The 19,205-nt window shown below is 44.9% G+C and overlaps 1 protein-coding gene across 2 annotated transcripts in view, besides 3 other annotated features; it reads left to right on the top strand.

Annotated features, from left to right (window-relative positions):
- The window catches only part of SQOR (sulfide quinone oxidoreductase), a 60,134-nt gene that overhangs the window by 5,506 nt on the left and 35,423 nt on the right, over positions 1-19,205 (top strand). The gene's annotated exons all lie outside the window — the stretch shown is intronic.
- Positions 977-1,056: an enhancer, noted in NCBI's record as "active region_9367". NCBI's record gives its function as "activates an Ori minimal core promoter by ATAC-STARR-seq in GM12878 lymphoblastoid cells {active_cell/tissue: GM12878}" and the evidence as "EXISTENCE:reporter gene assay evidence [ECO:0000049][PMID:35858748]".
- Positions 1,087-1,146: an enhancer, noted in NCBI's record as "active region_9368". NCBI's record gives its function as "activates an Ori minimal core promoter by ATAC-STARR-seq in GM12878 lymphoblastoid cells {active_cell/tissue: GM12878}" and the evidence as "EXISTENCE:reporter gene assay evidence [ECO:0000049][PMID:35858748]".
- Positions 5,135-5,184: an enhancer, noted in NCBI's record as "active region_9369". NCBI's record gives its function as "activates an Ori minimal core promoter by ATAC-STARR-seq in GM12878 lymphoblastoid cells {active_cell/tissue: GM12878}" and the evidence as "EXISTENCE:reporter gene assay evidence [ECO:0000049][PMID:35858748]".

Genomic DNA, 19,205 nt, shown 5'->3' on the forward strand with positions numbered 1-19,205 from the left:
GGACTCCCAAAGTTCTGGGATTACAGGCATGAGCCACTGCGCACGGCCAATATCTGTGATTTCTATTGGTGACAAAGTCTTAGTATTGCCAATACTGCTGTGGTTTGTTGGCTACATACATAATTGAAGTAAATGTTAAATTTCAGTTAGATACTAGAGAAATAAAAGATGTAAATATTAAATATCCGTAAAAATAAAGATGTAAAATACTTTTCCATCTAAGTTTTTGGGTCCAGGTTAAGATCCTCTGATAGTAGAAAGGGCACTGACCCAATGACTTGGCTTCTGGGCTTGACACTTCCATTGACATTTCCAAGGCCCATTGTAACCTTGGCTTTTTTTTTTTTTTGAGACATGGTCTTGCTGTGTCGCCTAAGCTGGAGTACAGTGAGGTGATCTCTGCTCACTGCAACCTCCTCGCAGGTTCGAGTGATTCGCCTGCCTCAGCATCCCTAGTAGCTGGGATTACACCAGCCACCCACCACCACACCTGGCTAATTTTTGTATTTTTTGGTAGAGACAGGGTTTCACCATATTGGCTAGGCTGGTCTTGAACTGCTGACCTCAAGTGATCTGCCCTTGTCTGCTTCCCAAAGCAACCACCACACCCAGCTTAACTTTGGCTTTTGAATTTCTTTTCGCCTCAGCTTCTTCATTGTACAGTGGAGATAATAACACCTTCCCAAGTATTTAAGGCACCCAGCACTGCACTTAGTGTAGAGGGCTGAAGTAGATACCATTTATCAGAACTTATTTGTATCCCTCCCAAGCTTATGGCCTTATATCCCCAAGCCTGGGGAGGTACTCATTATTTATTGAATGAATAAGTGGGTCAGAAAGGGTTGCTTGTGACTAAGTCCAAAAAACAAAATTCATTAAGGAGACAGCTGGTGGTTTGGGAAATGACTTTGTTTAAATTTGGGGCTTTTTTTCTGGCTGGAAAAATATATAAACACATTTGGAACGGGGGTGTTTGAAATGTCAGTCAGGGCCCAGGGTCTGTGTGTGCGTGTCTGTGTGGCTGGTGTTCTGCCAGTGAAAATGAAACTGAATGTTGAAAGGAAACCGGATTCCTTTGCAGAACAGTTTCTCCTCCATGTTGCCTGTGTCTAGCTTTGTTAATCCGATGTGTTGTAACACAGGAAATGTCTTATAAAGAATGGAGACGGACCCATGACAAGGCATTTCTGGGCATAGATGTACTTTTTTCTTCTCCTTTCACGTTTCCCTGCTCCACTATCTACTATATAACTCCTCTTTGACTCTGAAGACTTGGTAAATAGGAGCAGTTTGGATAGCTTATGGAAAGCTGCCCAGACCTGGCTGGAAGCCAACTAGTTGCTTCTTAATCCCAGCCTTAAAAATCTTTGTAATCCCCAGATGTAGGTGGTAATAATAATAAAGAAAAGTAGATCTAGCCAACCATCCCTGTGATTTACATTGAGAAAGTGCTAAATTGGGACAGGAGGTAGAGAACTTTGTGGAAAAAAACAAAACAGAACAAAAAAACCCTCGGAAATTTAGAACACACTGGGACTATCTATGTCTGTAACTTTGGGAAGGGCAAATACTGGTGTTATGGACTCACCAAATTCATATATTGAAACCCTAGCCCCCAGGATCTTAGAATGTGACTGTATTAGGAGATAGTGCCTTAGTTAGAAGTGGTGGTGAGCACCTGTAGCCCCAGCTACTTGGGAGGCTGAGGTGGGAGAACTGCTTGAGCTCAGAAGTTCGAGGCTAGCCTGAGCAACATAGCAAGACCTTGTCTCAATAAAAGAATAATTAGCCAGGCACGGTGGCTCACGCCTGTAATCCCAGCACTTTGGGAGGCCGAGGTAAGCAGATCGCTTGAGGCTGGGAGTTTGAGGCCAGCCTGGCCAACATAGAGGAACCCCGTCTCTACTAAAAATTCAAAATATTAGCTGGGTGGGGTAGTGTGCACCTGTAATTCCAACTACTCAGGGGGCTGAGGCATGAGACTTGCTTGAACCGGAGAGGAGGAAGTTGCATTGAGCCAAGATTATCATGCCACTGCATTCTAGCCTGCGCAACAGAGCAAGACTCTGTCTCAAAAAAAGAAAGAAAGAAAAAAAAAAAAGGAAAATTAAGTTAGGTCATTAAGGTGGAGCCCTAATCCAATATGAATAGTATCCTTATAAGAAGATGACTCGTCAGGAGCACATGTGCACAGAGAAAAGGCCACGCAAAGGCACACTGAGAAGGTGGCCATCTGCAAACCAGGGAGAGAGATCCCAGGAGAAACCAGTCTCATCAGCACTGAGGTCTTGGACTTTCAATCTCCAGAACTTTGAGAAAATAAATTTCTGTTCTCTAGACTTCATCTAGTCTATAGTGTTTTGTTATGGCAGCCCTAGAAAATTAATACAACTGGTTCTACCAAATGGACAATAGGTTTAAAAAAAATGGCTACAACTAGGCACCATCTCTTTTAAGTCATGATCCCGACATGTCCATCACTTGCTCTTAGGATCTCTTACCCAACCTATGCAGAAGAGTCTCCCATGTACTTTCCTTCTACAGACACCCTGTGTGGTCCCTAGGATCTTGCCTGAAGTTGTTAAAGCCATATTCAGCTTCATGATTTTGACTGTTAGGAAAAGAAAAACTTGGCCTCTTCAGCAAGTGACCTAGGTTAGCTGTTGTGCCATGTACATAGTAAGTACTTTGTAAATGTATGGTGGGTGATGGGTGATGATGTTATGATCATCCTTAAATACCATGGGGTGACTCCCTTCTGATCATAATGAATCTCCATGTTTTGGCCCTAGCCCAGCCCTCAGGGAACTTTCATGCCACCTAGCTGGGAACCAGCAGCTCTGGCCCTAGCTACATGAATGGAGAGAAAATGGCTATGTCTGTATCCTGGTACCAATTCCTGACTTCTGGGAGGGAGGGCTGCTTCTGGAAGTGGGGATTGTGGTGATTTCACTCTATGATAACTTTCTTATATCTTTGGCTATTTGTTCTAAGGTAGCCCATGATGTCTCCATAGGAAAATGATGTGTTTTAACAACCACCATGTTTGGAGTATAGATTGTGAGAGCTCTTCAAGACAGTGCTGGGTCTAGTAAATGTGGTTTTGTGTTTCTGTGAGCACATAAATGATGCTTGAGATGGATGAGGGGCCATCTGAGTTTGGAGGAAAATCATGAGCCTTTCAAGGTCTAGGTGATCAAATCTAAGCTTGTTTTGAATCATTGAGTAAGAAAGGTCTTTAATGGCAACTAGACACCTCCACTTATTTTACACTCAGGGAAATGGACTCAAAATGGTAAATGACTATCTCATGGTCTTACAATCTCCATTTCCTCACTTATAAAATGGGAATAATAATTCCCACCTCTCTGGTTTTTGTGAGTAATTACGTAAAGTGCATAGCACAATGCCTGTCACATATCAACACTTCCACAAATGATTTGGGGACTTGCGGGGAGAGATTGAGAGGAATGGTTTCCATTCTAATTATGTTCCAGACCTGCTTATTAAAGCCTTGTTATTCTTTGCCACAAAAATTCACATCTCTGATCAATCTAAGGAGTTATTAGAACAAGCGTCCCCATTTGAAAGCCTGCTTGTGAACTTCCATTTTCCTTTTCTCATTTAGAGGATAGCAAAGTTTTAGAGAAGCAGGGGACCTTTGATGCCACCCAATCTGATCCTTTATTCCATTGATGAAGAAAGCATGGCCCAAAATGGGTCAGGAAGAGCTGTACCTAGCACTCCCTGGACTGTGGTCCTGGGTCTCTTGACTCTTGATATGCCCTCAGACAAAGCTTCACCAGGAACGGGTCATTGTCATCTAGCTGGACACAGAAGAGACGTGAGCTGTCTACACCTCATTCTGTCTCAACTATTAAAGGATTGAGTTTAGAGTCTCTCCAACTATGTCCAAATAGCAAATGTATACCTTGAAATTAAAGAGTGTTTTCTCATTATGGTAAGACCTCACACACTGGATTCCAAGGAATGATATACTTGAATGAAATGGCCAGTCCCGTTTACAGTGAACTCCTTGCATGTGAGACTCTGAGTGGAAATCCCAATGCTCCTGAGGCTGATGAGTAATTTTAATGTGGTCATTTAACAAACTCAGGAAAACAAGTTCATCCCTGTTGTGTGACTGGGAGTACACTGATTCCACCTCAGGCTTCTTTTTCCAGTGAGTCATGTCCTACAGTCTGCAGATGGGCACACACAGGCATATACAGACTAGAAAGGAAACCTGAAAATTACCTGACCAGAGGCCAACTATGAGTGGTGGGGTTGAAGGGGAGCTAAGTCGTGCTTCTTTATGTACTAGAATGTGAGAAGTCAGGCTCCCACTGGCTACAGCAAGCAGAAAAACAAGGTGTTCTTTCATTTTTTTTCCCCCTATATAATTCAGTCAAAACTCTTAACTTTCATTTGAAATAATCCAATTGACTGACATATTTTTTCTTTCCTGGAATCTGAATGCAAGCATTTTCCTTATGTAAATATAATTTGTGTTTTCTGCTTAGCAATTGTATTGGTTTGGTGAAATTGTCAGTTCTCTTGTTACAATGCATTCTCTGATTGTAAAATAAGGATAGGTCAGGATAATTTGTAGGAAATTTCTCAGGAGCAAAGGGAGCCACTGTTTCATTGTAAAGTCCTCATTAGCAACTCTTAATCAGTAACTCTGCAAAGAAAATTCCTACAGTTTTGCCCCTGAAGAGTGAGGGAACTAAAGAACCCCAGTGCAGCTCCCAGTCCTTGAATCATCAGAGAGCTATATAGATTGTTCCTATTTCCCCAGTGACTCAGTCCTGGCCCACTACTGGTGTACTTGCTTCACAGCTTAATATTTAAACAAATGTTTGGATTTATAACAGCTCCAGAGGGAGAGTTTCAACATGGCCCTGCAGGGCTAAGTGAAGATTGCTCCATTTTCTTTATTTGTTAACAGTATAGTAATCCAGTTCCTGAACACACAAGGCAAGAATAGCACTGCCATTACTCAAGCAGAGGTGTGCCAAGAGGAAGAGCACAGCTGCTATCCTTTCTCGGAACAACACTCATTCAGTTTTCAAGGGGGGTGCTTTCCTTCTCCCTCACAGTGCCTTGGACCTTTACTCCACTTTGAGTAATTCTAGTATTGCTGCTCACATCCTGTCTTCATTATATTCACCTGAACAAGTGGATATAATGTCATCGTTCACATTCTTCCTTCTTCTTTATCCCCTATAGCTGATTGTCGCAAAAATGTCAATGTGTGTCTCACATTCACACCCCTCATCTCTGTTCCCATTCAGACCCCACCCTCACTGTGCCTGAATTTCTGAAACAGCCGCTTAATGGATCTTCATATTCCTGGTCTTTCCTGTTATAACAGACAGACTCTTCTTACCCATCACTGGCTGTGCAGTGCCTAGCACAATCCCTGGCATTTAGTAAACAATCAAAAATGCTGAACTCAACTGAATTGCTCCAGTTCATCCTCTCAGCTTCCCCTGGGGACTCTTTATAAATCCAGTTTTATTAAGACCTTCCAAGGGCTCTCACTGCCATTAGCAGTAACCACAGGCTGAAATGCACACCAGGGCTGAGCAGGTAACAAATGAACAACATAGGCTGAGTGGGGCTGGAGTGAACTGAAACCTTGTGCATGGTGGAGAAGACCAATGACTGCTCAGCTCCAGCCAAGAGTTTCCATGTGAGAATGTGGGCTTAGTGTTAGAGGCCAAGAATCTGGAATATTTTTTGTCGAGATCTCCAAATTTTTTAATGTTGATGACTAATTCAAAATTCAAGAAAAGCACTGTGAGCCAAGCAAAACACAGCTCTGGCCTGCACTTGGCCTGCAGGTTGCTGCTTTGTGACTCCTAGATCAAATTGCCATTGTCTGGGAATAAGCTCTCAGACCTAAACTTTAGTAACACATGCCTATCCAATCTCATTTCTCCCTCTTCCCAGAGCGCTAGACTGCCCTCCTTTATATCCACCGTTAGGAGATTCTCATTGCAAGTGATTCTCCTTTCAAAATCTTGAACCCAACTGTCCAAAAGTAGCCCGAACAGGTCCCTGACATAACTTCCCTTTTTCTGCTCACATAATTCCTTTTTCTTCAGCTGTCTAGATGTCAACTTTGACTTTTTTTTTTCTTCCAGAAGCCTTTCCCACGTCTTCCGAAATTATTCTCTCTTCCCAGCCTCTATCTTATCTGAATCTTTGTTTGCATTTCTAATGCTAACACCTAATTCAGGAGCTTATCGCTCACACCTGGACCACTCCAATAGTCTCCTAACTGATTTGTCAAAATTAGCCCATGTGAAACTGGTTTTGTTTCTCCTCCAACAGGAGGGTTAATTTGTTCCAACACCAGAAGATTCTCTTACTCAAAGCTGCCCCTTTGTGCGATCACTTTCCAGAACTTTGTTTTCCCATGTAAAGCCTCAATGCCCTAGCTAAAAGAGTGGGAGGGGGTCAGGCCTGGAGAAATTGCTGTCTCTCAGCTTGCATCCTTACATACAGTGGGCGCTCAATGAATACTTGTGGACACATTCTTTTTTCTTTTTGAGATGGAGTCTTGCTCTGTCACCCAGGCTGGAGTGTAGTGGTGCGATCTCGGCTCACTGCAGCCTCCGCCTCCCAGGTTCAAGCAATTCTTCTGCTTCAGTCTCCCAAGTAGCTGGGACTACAGGTGCGTGCCACCACGCCCAGCTAATTTTTTGTATTTTTAATACAGATAGGGTTTCACTGTGTTAGCCAGGATGGTCTCAATCTCCTGACCTCATGATCCGCCTGCCTCAGCCTCCCAAAGTGTTGGGATTACAGGCGTGAGCCACCATGCCTGGCCTGGAAACATTCTTAAACAGCAGCAGAATTGTGACCATGCGAATTTCATGTAAGTCTATTTCACAAAGATACACTTACATATTTAGCATAGCTAAATGTAAGTAATTTAATCGTATATCATTTGCGCAGGTAAAAATTCTCCTAATAAAAATTCAGCTTAGATTATCTTTCCTGATTTTCAGTTCTGCAAACTTAGCCCCTGTGTGATTGAGACAAATTCAGTGTAGGTATAAACCTGAATTTGCACATAGACTTATATGCTGCAGAAAACTTGTTTCTCACCTTCTTTTCTGAGCACTTCTGGCTGATGCCCTCCTTTATCAAGGTTAAATGGATAAAATAGATGTGAAGATTTTTCTTGGTGGAGAAGATATCTTAAGTTTCAATAGAATGGAGGATAGTATATGACAAAGGAAAGGAAGGCCACGTGCTGCTTCTTCTAGAGCGGTTACTGCCTTAAAAACTCAAACTGTAGCTATGTTATTTAGTTGCAAAAATTTATAAAAATTTAGCTCAATCACCCACAAATTGTAACATTCTTCGGTACTATGTAATTAAATTGCATTTTAGAGACGGCATAGAGACGGCGTATTTTTTTTTTCTCCTTTTTGAGACGGAGTCTTGCTCTGTTGTGCCCAGGCTGGAGTGCAGTGACGCGATCTCGGCTCACTGCAACCTCTGCCTCCCAGGTTCAAGCGTTTCTCCTGCCTCAGCCTCCTGAGTAGCTGGGATTACAGGCACCCGCCATCATGCCTGGCTAATTTTTGTATTTTTCAGAGACAGGGTTTCACCATGTTGGCCAGGCTGGTCTTAAACTCCTGACCTCAAGTGATCCACCTGCCTCGGCCTTCTAAAGTGCTGGGATTACAGGCATGAGCCACCGCGCCTGGCTTTTAAGATGCCGCCTGACAGTTTAGTGGATATGTGAGGAGAAGAAGCCGAGCAAAAATGTGTTAAACATGTAAAAGCTTCCATCTGACTGAATAGTTGGCACATGCATTTTAATCTAGATGTATTACAACGTACCTGGGATTTGTTTTAATCAAGTATGGTGAGGCCAACAGATCAGGAGGTGACTGCCATGAAGGAAGAAGCTCTTACTCACAGTTCCCTAGAAACAGGAGGCATAACACCTCACATGGGGCCATATGGGAAAGCACCTGCGTAGGTGAAGGGGCAGAAAAAGTGAGGGGAAAGAACAGGCAAAAGACTGTATTGTGAGGCAGGGGAAAGGGCTGGCTAGGTTTGGGATTGGCTAGTTTGAATAATTTTAGAGTGCTCCAGGATTCATGAGCTGCCTATAGTTGTAGTTGTCTGATGCCTGGCCCTGGAATAATAAGGGCAGGGGAAAATTGCCTCTTGCAGGGTTAAAGCCAAATAGAGGAGGTGGTTCAGAATATGGCTCTGGATTGATTGGTTTACATATCAAAGGTGTGGTCATAGGCAAGCCAGGCAAGCCATTTACCATCTCTCAGAGTTAGCTAGTCCTGGGAGGGGCAGTCTCTGGGATTAGCAAGACCCCAAAATGTCAAACCATAAAAAAATACAGACAATGAAAAACAGAATTAATACAGCAGGATTCAGAATATTGACAGGAAGGGGAAACAGTCAGTTGCCTTCCTGGTTTCATGAAGTATCTAATGCAGTGCCATTGATATGTGCTGTAAATATTACTGGACACGTTACTTGCATGTATTTTGGATTAAGAGGAGATTATGCTAAGGATCTCATTTATGGGCTAATGTTTGGCATTTTCTTGGCAACCAAAGTCATGCTAATCAGGTGACAGTAACAATTTCCTTTTTAAGGTATTTCCAGATTTAGACCCGCCTTCTTAGAGTTTAAGTCAGAGGGTGTGATGGTTAATTTTATGTTCCAGTTTGACTGGACTATGGGGTGCCTAGAAATTTGGTCAAACGGTATTCTGGGTGTGCCTGTGAGGGGGTTTCTGGATGAGAGTAACATTTGAATGGGTAGATTGAGCAAAACAGATTGTCTTCCCCAATGTGGGTTGGCCTTACGCAATCAGCTGAAAGCCTCAGTAGAACAAAAAGGCGAACACTCCCGTGAATGAGAGACAATCAGCCCTGCCTGCCTGAGTGTCTTGGAGCTGGGATATCGGATGTTCTTCTGTGTTGAGAGTCAACTGAAACATGGCTTGTCCTGTGTCTTGAGCTGGCCTTGAGACTGAAACTGTACCATAGGCTCTCCCGGGTCTTCAGCCTGCTGACTACAGAATTGGGACTTAGCTTCTATAATCTTGTGAGCCAGTTTCCAGGAATGTCCTTCATGTAATAGGGAAATGATGATGTTTGCTTTGGTTGCCTCCCTCATTCCTTTCACCTCCTCCAGTTAAATCTTGTTTTGACCCTTTATTGGCTGTGGGTGCAGGGAGTTTTCCCATGTTCCAGGAGGCAGCCAGCTTGTAACTAGCAAGCATTGCTATGTTTGTATTTCTGATACATTTTCTAAAAGAGATCGCAGAACAAAGGGTCCTGACTCACCAAGGATACAGGTATTTGTTGTGATTTACTTTCTCATTCAAAATACATATTGGATATTGTATCTAATTTTGTATTGGTAATTTTGGGTTATGAAACCCCAGATTTGAAGCCCCAAATTGTATAGGGTTCAATGCCCATAAAACCCAGATCTGCCCCTGCTTAGAGGCCGGCCCCTCTAGGAGACAGCATGTGGGGCCACCCAGAGATGCAGGACTCTTCTGTTCTGCCCTATCGCAGCAGAGAGGCCATCCCTGGAGCTGGAAGGTGCAGACTGGGAATTGCTCCTTCTCTGAATTGCTAGCTCCTGCTAATGCCTGCATTGCTGCTGCAAAGGATATTCAGAAAAAGTTGCTCGTCAGAAAAAGAATTCATGCTAGCTCTGGCCCTGCTGCTGATGCATTGTGTGAAACCCTTGAGTGACTTCACCTCTTGGAACTCAGTTTTCCCATTTGTAAAGTGATATCAATACTTCCGGTGTGGGCTCAGGTTTGGGCCCTGTGAATTGTAAAGCTCTATGCACATGGGAGGATGTATGATTATAAGTTGTGTTGCTATTACTTGTATTGCTAATATCTTGCTATTATTGAAATATGCCCAAACCTTAACATTTCAGTGACTAAAGAGCAAAACCAGTGTTCACTCTGACATAGTTTTTTTAAATTTTTCATTCATTCACTCATTTTAAGTTTTTATTGTGTAAACTTTCATCAAACATGTACAAAAATAGACTGCCACAAGGAATGCCCATATATATCCATCCACTGATTTCAAATTATTGCCAACTCATGGCCCATTTTGTTTCATCTACACCCCTACCCACTTACACCTCCTAAAATATTTTCAAGCAAATTCCGAGTCATTTCAACTATAAGAATCTCGGTGTATATTTCTGAAAGATAAAGACTCCTAAAAAATTAAATCAGTACTATTATTGTACCTTGCCCTTCTCTGCCAAAAAAACTTAATTTCTTTCTTTTCAGTTTATTTAGTAAGCTAAAATTTAGTAACAGGGAGGCCGAGGCTGGTGGATCAACTGAGGTCAGGAGTTCGACACCAGCTTGGCCAACATGGTGAAACTCAGTCTCTATTAAAAATATATAAATTAGCTGGGTGTTGTGGTGGGCGCCTGTAATCCCAGCTACTCAGGAGGCTGAGACAGGAGAATCGCTTGAATCCGGGAGGAGGAGGTTGCAGTGAGCCGAGATCATGCCACCGCACTCCAGTCTGGGCAACAGAGTGAAACTCTGTTAGAAAAAAACAAAACAAAACAAAACATATATTCACTCTCACCTCCCACCTCACTCCATGGGATTCAACCAAGCTACTTTAACTTTTTTTTTTTTTTTTGAGACAGGGTCTTTGTCTGTGGCCCAGGCAGGAGTGCAGTGAGGCAGTCTCCACTCACTGCAACCTCCTCTTCCTGGGTTCAAGTGATTCTCCTGCCTCAGCCTCCCTAGTAGCTGGGATTATAGAAGCACACCACCACGCTTGGCTAAATTTTGTACTTTTAGTAGAGATGGGGTTTCGCCCTGTTGCCCAGGCTGGTCTCGAACTCCTGAGCTCAAGCAGTGCGCCCGCCTTGGCCTCCCAAAGTGCTGGGATTATTTTATTTTCATTCAAATTTAAAGTAGCTTGGGCCAGGCCCGGTGGCTCAGGCCGGTAAATCGCAGCACTTTGGGAGGCCAAGGCGGGTGGATCTCTTGAGGCCAGGAGTTTGAGACCAACCTGGCCAACATGGCAAAATCCCGCCTCTACTAAAAGTAGAAAAATTAGCTGGGCGTGGTTGTGGGTGCCTGTAATCCCAGCTACTCGGGAGACTTGAAGCACAAGAATCGCTTAAGCCCAGGAGGCGGAGGCTGCAGTGAGTGGAGATCATGCTGCTGCACTCCAGCCTGGGCGACAAGTGACAGAGCAAGACTGTCTCAAAAACAAAATAAAATAAAATAATTTCAGCCAACAGGCATTTTTCCTGAATTATTAGATAGTTTGAATTAAGTTCTGTTGCTTAGTCATGTGACCTTAGGCAAGTTCTCTATCTCTACTCAAACCCTCAATTTTATCATCTGTAAAATGGGGATTTTATTTATAAGGTTATGAGGAGTCTTTGAGACAGCACAAGTACAACTGGTAAACAATAAATGTTAGTTATTATTTCAATGATAGTTTTTTGTTTTTTTGTTTTTTTGTTTTTTTTTTGAGACGGAATCTTGCGCCACCGTCACCAGGCTGGAGTGCAGTGGCACGATCTTGGCTCACTGCAACCTCCGCCTTCTGGGTTCAAGCGATTCTCATGCTTCAGCCTTCCCAGTAGCTGGGATAACAGGCATGTGCCACCATACCCAGCTAATTTTTGTATTTTTAGGAGAGACGGGGTTTCACCATATTGGCCAGGATGGTCTCCATCTCCTGACCTCGTGATCCGCCCACCTTGGCCTCGCAAAGTGCTGGGATTACAGGCGTGAGCCACCACACCCAGCCAGAATAGATTATTTTCCTACCAAATCCTGTCTTCTGGATTTGAAATAAGAAAATATTTGGTTAAGAGGTGTAAATAACTGATAATAGCATTAGGGCTGACTTAATTAATTAAATACGCCCAGAAAGCCCAAGTGGGAGGATTTAGTTGAGGAGGAGGAGGAGTTTTCCAACAGTCCCTCCACCTGGGCACCAGGTGTAAGCCTGACCTGTGCCGTGTACACAGTGCTCATTCGTGCCCTGAGACAGGAAGCTACAGAGATCCAGACCAACAGCTCACAGTAAGCTTGGGCCAGGTCTGGCGGGAAGAACAGAGTAGGCAACAAGAGCTGGACACTGTTTAATGATTAGACTGTTTTCCTCTTTGATTTTGGAAGTGTTCTACAAAGGTGATCTGTTAAAGGTTGGCCCTGTGGTTATTGAAACCCAAAGCAGAGTGGGCCCAGCCTGGCCTAGGCTTGAGAGGAAACAATTGTAAATCAAAGACCCACTGTGTCCTCAAAAGCAAAAATAGCTGAAGGGTTGATGACAATCCTTGGCTTGGTGAATCTTTCATTAAGAATGCTCTGAGTAATTCTTGCTTAGCCAGCAGCTCTGTTTGAACTCTGCCAGGTGCCCTGGCTGCTCACAAACCATGTCATGTGACATAAGATTAGGAAGCTTTTGACACAGGCAGTCTGTATTGCTTGTCCAGGAAGGGCTGTAGTGGAAAGGTATGAAGTCCCAAAGACTTGTCCAGACCAGGTCTGGAACTAGGGGCCAGTGATGGAAGTAGGGGATGCCCAGTCCGCTGTCTTATCTTTCAATCAACAGGGACTTTACTTCTCCAGTTAGACTGCAGTCATATCAAAGCATTCATTCCCATCCTTTGAAGGAGGGACACAATCAATTTAGAATAGAGGAATTTTAATCTAACTTAAAAGCATAATACTATTTGATTATAAAATATATTGCATGTGCCATTTGGTAAATGAAAGTTAAATTTACCTTATTTATTGATGTTTTTCTTTTTCTTTTTTTTGAGACAGAGTCTTGCTCTGTTGCCCAGGCTGGAGTGCAGTGGTGCAATCTTGGCTCACTGCAACCTCCGCCTCCCTGGCTCAAGCAATTGATTCTCCTGCCTCAGCCTCCTGAGTAGCTGGGATTACAGGCACCTGCCTCCATGCCCAGCTAATTTTTTTTGTATTTTTGGTAGAGACAGGGTTTCACCATGTTGGCCAGGCTAGTCTCAAACTCCTGGCCTGAGGTGATCTACCTGACTTGGCCTACCAAAGTGCTGGAATTACAGGCGTGAGCCACTGTGCCTGGCCTCATTTTTTAAGAATTGCTGGGGTAAGGGGAAATGAGAAGGTGGGATATGGGCAATGCTTTTTGTTGTTGTTGTTTTTGTGTGTGTTTTTTTGAGACAGTCTTCCTGTCACCCAGGCTGGCGTGACCTCAGCTCACTGCAACCTCTGCCTCCCGGGTTCAAGTGGGGGTCCTGCCTCAGGCTCCCAAGTACCTGGGATTACAGTTATGTGCCACCACAGCCCGCTAATTTTTGTATTTTTAGTAGAGATGCGGTTTCACCATGTTGGCCAGGCTGGTCTTTAACTCATGACCTCAAGTGATCCATCTGCCTCAGCCTCCCAAAGTGCTGGGATTACAGGCACGAGCCACTGTGCCTGACTTTTTTTTAAGCCTTTGCAATGTGGTCTGGCTCTGTCGCCCAGGCTAGAGTGCAATGGCATGATCTTGACTCATTGCCACCTCCACTTCCTGGGCTGAAACCGTCCTCCTACTGTGTCCGGAATTGGTGGGTTCTTGGTCTGACTGACTTCAAGAATCACCCTGTGGACCCTCGTGGGGAGTGTTACAGTTCTTAAAGGCGGCGTGTCCGGAGTTTGTTCCTTCTAACGTTCGAATGTGTTTGGAGTTTCTTTCTTCCTTCTGGTGGGTTCGTGGTCTCCCTGGCTCAGGAGTGAAGCTGCAGACCTTCACAGTGAGTGTTACAGCACATAAGGGTAATGCCAGTGTGGACTCAAAGAGCGAGCAACAGCAAGATTTATGGCAAAGAGCAAAAGAAGAAAGCATCCACAACACGAAAGAGGACCAGAAAGGACTGCCACCGCTCGCTCGGGCAGCCTGCTTTTATTCCCTTATCTGGCCCCACCCACATCCTGCTGATTGGTCCATTTTACAGAGAGCTGATTGGTCTGTTTTTATAGAGAGCTGATTGGTCCGTTTTGACAGGGTGCTGATTGGTGTGTTTACAAACCTTGAGCTAGACACAGAGTGCTGATTGGTGTATTTACAAACCTTGAGCTAGACACAGAGTGCTGATTGGTGTATCTACAATCCCTTAGCTAGACATAAAGGTTCTCCAAGTCCCCACCAGATTAGCTAGACACTGGGTACTGATTGGTGCCTTTACAAACCTTGAACTAGACGTAAAAGTTCTCCAAGTCCCCACCTGACTCAGGAGCCCAGCTGGCTTCACCTAGTGGATCCCGTGCCAGAGCCGAGGCGGAGCTGCCCCCGGGTCCCGCACCGCGCACCTGCACTCCTCAGCCCTTGGGCGGTCAATGGGACAGGGCATCACAGAGCAGGGGGCGGCGCCCATCAGGGAGGCTCACCCGTGTGGGAGCCCACCGCTGGGGGGCTGGGGCATGGCGGGCTGCAGGTCCCAAGCCCTGCCCTGTGGGGAGGCAGCTGAGGCCTGGAGAAGAATTCAAGCGCAGCACCTGCGGGCCGGCACTGCTGGGGGACCTGGTGCACCCTCCGCAGCTGCTGGCCCGTGCTAAGCCCCTCACTGCCCGGGCCTGTGGCACCAGCCTGCCACTCCAAGTGCGGGGCCTGCTGAGCCCACGCCCACCCAGAACTCGTGCTGGCCCGCGAGCGTCGCTGGCAGCCCCGGTTCCCGCCCGCGCCTCTCCCTCCACACCTCCCTGCAAGCAGAGGGAGCTGGCTCTGGCCCCTGCCAGCCCATAGAGGGGCCCCCACAGCGCAGTGGCGGCCTGAAGGGCTCCTTGAGCATGGCCAGAGCGGATGCCAAGTCCGAGGAGGTGCTGAGAGCGAGTGAGGGCTGCGAGGGCTGCCAGCACGCTGTCACCTCTCACTACCTCAGCCTCCAAGGTAGCTGGGACTACAGGCATGTGCCACTATGCCCGTCTAATTTCTTTTTTTTTGTATTTTTGGTAGAGATGGGGTTTTGGCATCTTGGCTATGGCTGGTCTCAAACTCCTGGCCTCAAGCAATCCTCCCACCTGGGCCTCCCAAAGTGCTAGGATTACAGGCATGAGCCACCGTACCCGGCCTTGATTTTTAAGTGTATTTCATCTTGTAAGAATGTAGAGATGAAGTGGCTGCATTCTCCTGTATCATTGGTAGTTAATTCTTCTTCTTCTTCTCCTTCTCCTCCTTCTCCTTCTTCTTCTTCTTCTTTCTTTTTTTTAAAAACAGACTCTCACTCTGTTGCCCAGGCTGGAGTGCAGTGGCATGATCTCAGCTCACTGCAACCCCCCGCCTCCTGGGTTCAAGCAATTCTTGTGCCTCAGCCTCCCAAGCGTGTGCCACCACGCCTGGCTAATTTTTGTATTTTTAGTAGACAGGGGGTTTTGATATGTTGGCCAGGCTAGTCTCAAATTCCTGACCTCAAGTGATCTGCCCACCTTGGCCTCCTGAGGTGCTGGGATTACAGGCGTGAGCCACCACGTCCGGCCGGTAGTTAATTCTTATTTCTTAAAAAAGCTGTATGTTTCAGGCTATCTTCTGAGGAGACTAAGAAATCATATCAGATTTATGCTCCTTGTTGACAGAAGTTTTCAGTTTTCTATTTCTTCTCTGCTGACTTTAGGGTCCAGTTTGATCTTCCATTGAGTGATTGATTGATTGATTGATTGAGACAGAGTCCCACTCTGTTGCCCAGGCTGGAGTGCAGGGGTGTGATCTCAGCTCACAGCCACCACCACCTCCCAGGTTGAAGCAATTCTTGTGCCTCAGCTTTCACAGTAGCTGGGATTACATGCACGGGGTACCACGCCGGCAGGTCCGGCTACTTTTTTCTAGTTTTTGTAGAGACCAGGTTTCACCATGTTGGCCAGGCTGTTCTGAAACTCCTGATCTTAAGTAAGTGACCCGCCCACCTCAGCCTCCCTAAAGTTTTGGTATTACAGGCGTGAGCCTCCTTTTTTTTTTTTTTTTTTTTTTTTTTGCCTTCTCGTTAAGATTGTGTGGCTGGCCGGGCACGGTGGCTCACACCTGTAATCCCAGCATTGTGGGAGGCCGAGGCAGGTGGATCACTTGAGGTCAGGAGTTCAAGACCAGTCTGGCCAACGTGGTGAAACCCCATTTCTACTAATAATACAAACTTAGGTAGGTGTGGTGGCAGGCACCTGTAATCCCAGCTACTCGTGGGGGCCGGAGACAGGAAAATTGCTTGAACCTGGGAGGTGGAGGTTGCAGTGAGTCGAGATCCAGCCTGGGCGACAGAGCAAGATTCCGCCTCAAAAAAAAAAGAAAAAAGAAAGATTGTGTGGCTGTTGCTTCCTTCAATTTTATCTTTCTCTGCTTGTTGCTATAAACTTGGTTTAGGTCAATGTCAGAAATTACTGTTGGTTCCTAAGTGATGTTTTCTGATGCCACTTCTAACATCAAATATATGTTCTCTTTTTCAATACCAATCAATACCAACTAGGTGCCCAATAATTCAATTCAATTGTGGCATTAGCTCCCGGAGTTAGTGGAGGCCCCGTAGTTTAAAGCTCAGTCCCACAAGACTGCCCTCACTTCAGACGCCAGCCAGGCAGGGCATCTGCTGCTGGCCCCAAGGGGACCCACACCTGTGTCTAGCTGACTACAAATCCCAAGGCTCCCATGATCCATCCTCCTCAGGTTCTATAATCAGCTAGAACTACTCAAAGAACTCAGGGGAACACTCTACCTCAGTTTACTGGTTTAGTATAAGGGATACAGCTCAGGAATGGCCATATGGAAGAGACATATGGGGCAAGGTAGCAGGGTGGTGCAGAGCTTACAGGCCCTCTCCGGTCACACCACCATCCAGCACATCAGTGAGTTCACCAACCCAGAAGCTCTTGTCTTGTTATAGAGCTCAATTTCCAGCCCCATTCTCCCTCCCAAGGTTAGAGGTGGGGCTGAGAGTTCCAACCCTCTAATCGTAGTCACGTGTTTGGTTTTTCTGGTGACCAGCCCCCTCCTGAAGCCATCTAGGGATCCCACCTTGAGTCACCTTACTAGCATAAACTCAGGGACTCATTATGAAAAACAAATGACACTTCCATCACTCAGGTAATCCCAAGAGTTTTAGGAACTTGGAGCTGGGAACCAGGAACAAAGACAGAATATGTTTTATATTACACCATGGTTTAAAAGTGGCATTTAGGCTGGGTGGGGTGGTTTATGCCTGTAATCCCAGCACTTTGGACGGCAAGGCGGGCAGATTACATGAGGCCAGCCTGGCTAACATGGTGAAACCCTGTGTCAACTAAAAATACCAAAATTAGCCAGGCATGGTGGTTTGTGCCTGTAATCCCAGCTACTCAGGAGGCTGAAATGGGGAAATCGCTTGAACTCAGGAAGTGGAAGTTGCAGTGAGCCAAGATCTCCCCACTGTACTCCAGCCTGGGTGACAGAGTGAGACTCAAAAAAAAAAAAAAAAAAAGTGGCATTAAAAAATTATGATTCTGCATTATTGCCCTGGTTTGTTTCTGGTCTTTGACATTGCATCATGCTCCACCTTCTCTATAGGCAGGGTTGGATTATGGTTCTGGGTTTTCTGATTTGGAAGTTTAGGTGATGTTACATTGTTAGAATTAGAAAGTAATTGAGATTTTTGGGCATTTTGAAACTTGGACATTTCTTATAACACATTCTTTTGTGTTTGTGAAGTTGTTTCTTATAGTTGGAAAGTGAAATTTGACTGCAAAGGCCAGGACATTCTGCTTCATGACTATTAATGATGTCAATAAATCTGGTTCAGAGGACTTTTTATTTATAAATACTGAATCCAGGAATAGGCTATGGATAATTAATGAAATAAAGCAGAAGTAGCCTTCTTGGCTGAGTGAGGGAAATATTTGTGTAAATTTTCAAGAGAGGAACCATGAAGTATTAGACTGGAAGGGAGCTAGTGAAGTGGCTACATTGACTGGCGTGTATACCCATGGTTTATCGTGTTGCGCCAGGAAAATTTAGGACATGGACACACACAAGGAGTTTCGGAGTGGAGGTTTAATAGACAGGAGAAAAGAGAAAGAAAAACAACTCTCTCTATTGAGAGAGAGGGGTCTTCTGAGTGGAAAGACGTGGCCGGTGGTGGATATGTCAGATTTTATAGTCAGGTTGGTGGAGGCGGTGTCTGATTTACATAGGGCTCACAGATTGGTTTGATCAGGTATGATGTTTACATAGTGCATCAGGAAGGCTGGCCTCCCCACCCTCATCTTATTATGCAAATGAACTTTCCCCTTAGTTGGGGCCATCTTGTCTGCTCCTTACTGTACACATGGCTGACAAAGCAAAGGGAAAATGGAGCCGCCATCTTGAACATGATTGCCAGCATCTATGTCTGCAGCTCGATTTTACAGGCTGCTTTTGTTAGACAGGAAAATGATTTGGGGCTGCTTTTCATTAAAAGGAAAACCTTACCGAGGACTTCCATACCCTCACTATCTGCCTAAGTAAATTTTTCTTAACTCTTGTATCACTTGGAGGCCAAATAACCTCAGACAGGGTGGCTGGAAACCAGAAACTTAGCCAGGCCTCCTCCTAGATTGCTCCTCCTGCCCCTGCCCCATGGGGCGCTTCCTATGGGGCTTTTCCCATGGAGATAGATATAGTGTCAGGACCATGAAAAACATGATTTTTCTTTTCTGGAAAGTGAGAAGTTTTGCTGTGATTCTATCATTCTGTGGACATTTAGAAAGAAAAGCAGGATGTGATGACTGGGTACACACCATAAAATATCTTCTTCCTTCCGTATGAAACATCAATATCTTACTTGGTGATTTCTTCTTCTCTTCAATCTAAAAAAAATCTATTTGAGTAATTTTTAAAATTTAAAATGTACAGTGTATTAAAGAAAATTTGTGAAAAGTACATACAAAGAAGAGGGAAAATAATTATAATCATTAAAACCATTGCTAATATTTAGGTATCAGTATCATGAAAAATGGTTTCCCTTTTCTGGGAAGTTGTAGAAAGTATATCTTTTTTTTTTTTTTCTTTTTGAGACAGAGTCTCACTCTGTTGCCCAGGCTGGAGTGCAGTGGCGCAATCTTGGCTTACTGCAACCTTCGCCTCACGGGTTCAAGTGATTCCCCTGCCTCAGCCTCCCCAGTAGCTGGGACTACAGGTGTACACCACCATGCCCAGCTAATTTTTTTT

The sequence above is a fragment of the Homo sapiens genome, chromosome 15 (assembly GCF_000001405.40).
Source record: "Homo sapiens chromosome 15, GRCh38.p14 Primary Assembly".
Classification (NCBI taxonomy): Eukaryota; Metazoa; Chordata; class Mammalia; order Primates; family Hominidae; genus Homo; species Homo sapiens.